Here is a 6,125-nt window from a genome sequence, read left to right as displayed (position 1 = left end):
GCTGTTTTTAAGAGTACAAGAAATACATTTATGAAACGAGGGAGGAAAAAGAATGGAGCAGAGAAAAGACAGGAAATGGCAAGTTCCTTACTCGATGAGATAACTGACTAGCCAGAAGACTAAAGATCCTTTTGAGAGTCTTTGATGCAGTCCTTGAGCTCCAGGATGTTAGGCCCTGGGCTGCTGCCTGCTCTGTAGCACCATCTGCTGGTCAATCTGCAGTCTCTGTCAGCCTGGGTGGGGAAGTGAACTGCTCCGCTCAAGACAAAGGTCGCTACTGACTTCAGTGTTAACAATTTACTCCACATTGGTGGGGGGAGGAACTATAGTTATGTTACACAAGGCTAGTAGGAATGGGACTGGATATACAGAATTTAACAAAGTGGTTACTCAAAACATCTTTTTAAAGGAAAGAAAGCAAAGCCTTTTTTTTTTTTCATGGAGAGGAAAGTATAAGAATCCCATGGATTTTTAGAACAAGACTAAACCATCTGTGCAAGAAAATTTATTCTCACCTTGATCCTTCAACATCTTGTGTATCTCCCATTCTATTAAATTAAGGCATTACTGAAATATGTTTAAAATTGAGCGCCATCCATCATAGAGATTGAGTTAGAATATCTACATAATATTTACACATCTCAACAGGAAAAGTAATTTTTCTTTTCAGTAGTTATCATTTTTGAAAACCCGGGTTGACTTGTAAGCCACCGTCTGTCTCATCCCTTACAAAGCATTTCCTCAGCTGATGCATTTCACTGATTTGATCTCACTGATATGGTAATAAAATCATTGGTCACTCAGACACAGAGCTGGTAGCCATGTGTTGAATCACCTGCTGTTAATTCAGATAGAGGTATACAGATGGGACTCAGGGACCCAAATGTGTTAATCTGAGAAATCCCTCGGCAATATCCCATGGATTACAATATTGCTGAAATATCCGGTATATAACTGCAAGTTAAATACTTCTAGAATTAATTATTAAAAGTGTATTTACCAAGGTTTAGCAACTATTTAATACGTGTTGCTTCCCAATGGGAGATTAGCCTATCTAAGGGCTGTGGAATCCTGGGGCCTTTGGAATTTATTTAATAAATGATAAGCAGCTGATTAAAAATAAATTAAATGCTAGTTAAAAGTATTTAGGGAGCTCGTTTAAAGTGTTTCGTTAGTAAGGAGTTTCCCCATCCCCTCTTTATTGTTTTAGAATTATTGACCTTATATATTGGGGTAGAAAACAAGATGGCTACCAGAGAAGAACTGTGTGAATAACCACATTTCTTAACTACATTTTTTCTTTTCTGACAGTTTTGTTTTTTAAGGTGATTTGGACTTTTTTTCTTTTTCTGAGACAGAGTCTCACTCTGTCACCCAGGCTGGGGTGTAGTGGTGCCATCACGGCTCACTGCAGCCTGGACCTCATGGGCTCAGCAATCCTCCCATCTCAGCCTCCTGAGTGGCTGGGATTACAGGCATGTACCACTATGCCCGGCTAATTTTTTTTTTTTTTAAATTTTTAGTAGAGATGGGATTTTGGCATGTTGGCCAGGCTGGTCTCAAACTCCAGGCCTCAAGTTATCCATCCGCCTCGACCTCCTAAAGTGTTGAGGTTACAGGTGTGAACCACTGCGCCGGTCCCTTAATAATTTTTTTTTTTAACCTCATGAAAATAGGTATCTTAATGCAACAGAAACTTGGAAAAAATTTTGGATAATAGGTTTCCCAGTTACAGGCTGTTGTAGGATTCACCTATACTTTTTCTGTTTTTATCTTGAAATACGTATGTAAGTATCCCTGCCTATTTTCCAATTTTTTTTTTTTTTTTAGAGCTAGAGTTCCCATAGTTAGTACAGGGAAAAAACCTCATTCTCTCTTATATAGTCATTTATAGAAAAAAATGTAAATCATAATTTATGACAAAATGATTTGAATTGTTCTTTCAGAGGTATTGAGTGCTTATTATTGTTATTTGCTAGCCATTATACTAGGCTCATTCACATACTTTCTTTTTGAATTCAGTTTTTAAGGAATTGTCACACTTACAACTTTATATGCATAGTATACACAATGCCAGTCTGCTTAAGCTTGAATCAGAAGAGTTCAAGAGCTCAGACGAACACTAATCTTTCCTTGTATGGAGTTTTCGGAGAAAACAGAATTATTTTGAGGCAAGCTCAGAAAAGCAATGGGAATTTTATGTCAAAACCAACCTGAAGACATGTTTAAAGATGGAACTATATGTTTTGTTTTAATACTTACATTATGTTTCATGTGCTTGAAATCAACATCTTCATATCTAAGCTGGTTTTTTTTTTGTTGTTGTTATTGTTGTTTTTAAGTTTAAGTTCCTTGAGACTAAGTTCTCAGTCTTTATATGATTAAAAGACATCCTGACTCAGGGCATTATGCTTAATACAAACTAGTTACAAGTAAAGATGACTTTGAACATGGAGCTTATTCATGTTGATGTCTAAGTGCTATGAATTTGAAGGGAGGATTTGTTAGGCGGGGACTGAGTGGCAGTGGGGAGATGGGGCACAGTATAGAGATCAGGCTTTGATGAAGAGAAATGCTGGCTTTCAGAAGGAGACACTGACTCCTCCTTGTTATTCATCAGCATAGTCACAGCAGAGAAGGTTGCTGGGCTGAATGACAGAGGTATGTTTTTAGATGTCTAGTAGGACTAGATAACAAATTAGAACTATCCAGGTACACATCTTACGAAAAAATACAGCAGATACACCAGATTTATTCAAACAGGATTTTGTGCTATTGGCCAAATATAGACCAAACAGCAAATGGTGACCTGAAATAGGAACTAGCACTTTTGGTAACAGAAATCTCTCCAGAACCAAATCCTGGATAGATAAAGTGCCACTAAATAGGAGAACCTGATCACAATACAGAGTCTGAGATTGACTTGTGTGGCTTGTGGTTAAGAGCTGAAAGTCAATGATAATAATTGAGTCAGTTTATCTTAAGGATCAGGGATAATCAACCTAAAAGACAAAAGGAGTTGCCATCTTCATTTATCAGCCAGATCTTGGGACCGGGAGACACAGCCACTTATGGTTCCTGCATGAGGCAACTCCAAAGGAAAATGTAGCATTTACCCAAATCCTGAAGATAAATGTATGTAAAGTGAAGCTCCCACAGTTAATATGGGTAGATTTACCACTATTGGAGAAGTGAATAAAGTCAAGTGAAAAATAGAATGCGTCTTGGCTGTGCTTGTTGGCCATGGCCACTGATCAGGCAGCAGCTGTGGTCTTTATGTTACTAGCAAAGGCTTTGAAACCTCTCCTGGATCATCTCCCACCCTCATGGCTCCCTGAGCAATGCCGATAACAACTAGCCAAGTGACTGATGGTGCTGCTGAAATTACCTCTTTGGTCTCACACAGAGCCATCCTCAATCCATGGAGAACGGCCAGCATGTCTGGAGAGATGGCAAGTTATGGACTGAATGCATCCCATTGTACATTGGGGTTGCATTGGGGAAACAAAACATGTAGTTCGCAGGAGACCTTTCTGTAGGAAGAATGTCTGATCATATTTTATGCTGCCGGGCAATATTGGTAAATGCTGGAGTCTTGTCTGGAGGTGGGACTCTTAGAAGTTGTCTTTTATGCTACGGAAGTGTTTTGGTTTATGACAGCTAAAGACCCTGATACTGAGTACCTGGTTGTGGTAACTATAGATGTGTAAATATAATTATCATAATGTTCATGTCTAGAATTGTGAGAAAACCACACTTGCTGAGTATATATGTTCAGGGCATTTAACTCATAGTGAGACTATTCCTTATGAAAGCCTTTTCTAATAGTGGGAAAAAAAAAAATCTCTTTTTGGTGCATTGGCACCAGAGCCAATCCATTTCCAATTCCTGAAGCTAAGAAGAACAAAAAGATTATTTTCTGAAACAGAAGATGTTTATCTTAAACTGCTGGAGAATGTGGAATTTGGCTCAAAGGGTATGGCTTTCTCTAATCAAGACTCATATCTCTTAGTACTCTAAACTTAGCCTATTGCTTGGGAAAGTAAAGATGAAAAGGGATGTTCAGTGAATACAGTCCACAATATTGGAGTGTTGGAGTATTATATAGGCCATTGAGAAAACATAAAATAATTACTGATGATAGCTAACATTTATTGAGTACTTTCTATATGCTTGGCATAGTACTAAGTTTTTGCATACATGACCTAATTTATTTCTCCTAATTATCTATGAAGTAGATACTGTTATTTTTGCATATTTTTCAGATGAATAAACCCAATTCTTAGAGTGTTTAAGGAAATTGTCTAAGTTTGTTCAGCTGGTAAGTTACAGAACTGCTTCTGACTTTAGATTTATCTGATTCCAGGGCTCAGTTTCTTCACTTTGAGTGTTTATGTAGTGAGAAGATCATTATATGGAATGTTAATGCTATAGGGAATTGAAGGCAATAAGGTCAAAAAAGTGTTAACTTAAACTATATTTAAGAATTCCAAAGATATCAAGACTTGTGACAGTTATGTACTACCCACCTCCCCAATTTAAGATACAAAGCTTACCTACTGATAGAGGGTACTCCTCTCTGATGGCTTTGCCCTACCTACCCTCTGGGAGGTAACTGTGATAATGAATTTGGTTGGTGCATTTTCTTATACTCTCTCTCTCTCTTTCTGTGTGTGTGTACTTAAAGAATGTACCTTATTTTCTGCATTGCTTTTGATCAGGTTCTGATACGGGAATTTTTTCGGAAGTTAGAAAGAAGGAGCCTAGAGAGAAAATGGAAATCATGCAACTCGTCTCTTATGAGAGTGTGTTGTGCAACATAAAGCTTGTTTTAAAGAATTGGGGTACCTTCCTCAGGACTGTGTGAAAGATCTAAGCAACTTTGCCAGCATACTTTCAGGGAACGTGTTTCTGAACCACAAGTACACAAAACAGACCTTGAAACGCTTACCCTTTCCTGTAACCAGGGGCAGAATGGAATTTGCCCTCTTGTCTGCACTGTGTGACTGTCAGAATGACTCATTTTCTTTGATCCTGTGTTTTCTGGCATTTGGACAGTGTACCCCAAGAAGTTAAAATCATCATCCTTGCTTGGCGCTCTGTGGCAGCTGCCTGCCTGGTGGCTTCTGGTAGTTCCGTGAAACGTGTGGGCAGAAGAACAGAAGGGCTGAGGAAGGAATAGAGTGACTGGAATAGCATTCGCCGGCAGAATGTTTGTAGCTGAAGGTGGAGCATATCCAGAGGACACTGTTAGGAATATTTTAAAATCACAGGTGCACTTCTGCTCCATGCAATTTAAAGGCACACAGCAAATGCAATTTGTATAACTGTTTCACAAAGTGGCTAGATGGCTTCCTTATTTCTAAATTGGAGTTCTTGTGGGCCCTCTGTAGGCAAAGGGAAGGTAAGCTGGGTCTCATTCTTGCAAGAATGAGTGAGTCTAAAGCAACTCTGTTTCTCCAGCACCTGGAAAGAGCCTGTAGGAACTCAAGAAAGGTTTTTTGAAGAAATGAATAAATAGAAATGTCATGTTTTCCCACTTGAGGCTAACTCAATTGTGTAGAAATTTTTACTCATGCCTGTTAACCCCACCACAGTTACTTGGTTCAGCTGTGAGGCAGGACGTGATTGCTTCATGCATAGGTGGATTCTGAGCGACTTTCAGAGGCGAGAGGAAAGAACTTCCTGTGCCCATGCTTTTCATTGATTTTCTAAAATCTGAAATGCCACCTGAGGAATGTTTTTAAAAGAACAGAAGAAAGAAATAAAAAGAAACCTCCTAAAAAAAGTGGTCCAAAGTTTTAAAATTATGTATCATATCTGTAAACTTTTTTGAGTACTTATCCCCAAATATGCACATTTATTGATTTATATATTATCTATGTACTATTGCATAAGTATGTTAATACCTAATAGAACATATGCAAATATTTTAAGGAGACAAACCTGAAATAAAAATATTTTATTTATAAGGGTACAGAACCTTTTGCTTTCATAAGATTATTATTATGACTATGATTAGTTATAATTCAAACTGTTTTTTCATCTCGGTGTAATATTTTTGTGACATTACTTCTGGGTCTAAATTCAGTTTATTTTACAAGTTTGTTTTAAAGGCTATTACA

General features: G+C 37.9%; 2 annotated features.

Moving 5' to 3' along the window:
* Nucleotides 234-283: a silencer, noted in NCBI's record as "silent region_1050". NCBI's record gives its function as "represses an Ori minimal core promoter by ATAC-STARR-seq in GM12878 lymphoblastoid cells {active_cell/tissue: GM12878}" and the evidence as "EXISTENCE:reporter gene assay evidence [ECO:0000049][PMID:35858748]".
* Nucleotides 4,219-5,418: an enhancer, noted in NCBI's record as "CDK7 strongly-dependent group 2 enhancer chr1:88641175-88642374 (GRCh37/hg19 assembly coordinates)". NCBI's record gives its function as "activates an origin of replication core promoter dependent on BRD2, BRD4, P300/CBP, MED14 and CDK7 cofactors, with strong dependence on CDK7, by STARR-seq in HCT116 cells {active_cell/tissue: HCT116}" and the evidence as "EXISTENCE:reporter gene assay evidence [ECO:0000049][PMID:35650434]".

Source organism: Homo sapiens, chromosome 1 (assembly GCF_000001405.40).
Source record: "Homo sapiens chromosome 1, GRCh38.p14 Primary Assembly".
Taxonomy (NCBI): Eukaryota; Metazoa; Chordata; class Mammalia; order Primates; family Hominidae; genus Homo; species Homo sapiens.
This window is presented reverse-complemented; position numbering and strand designations above follow the sequence as displayed.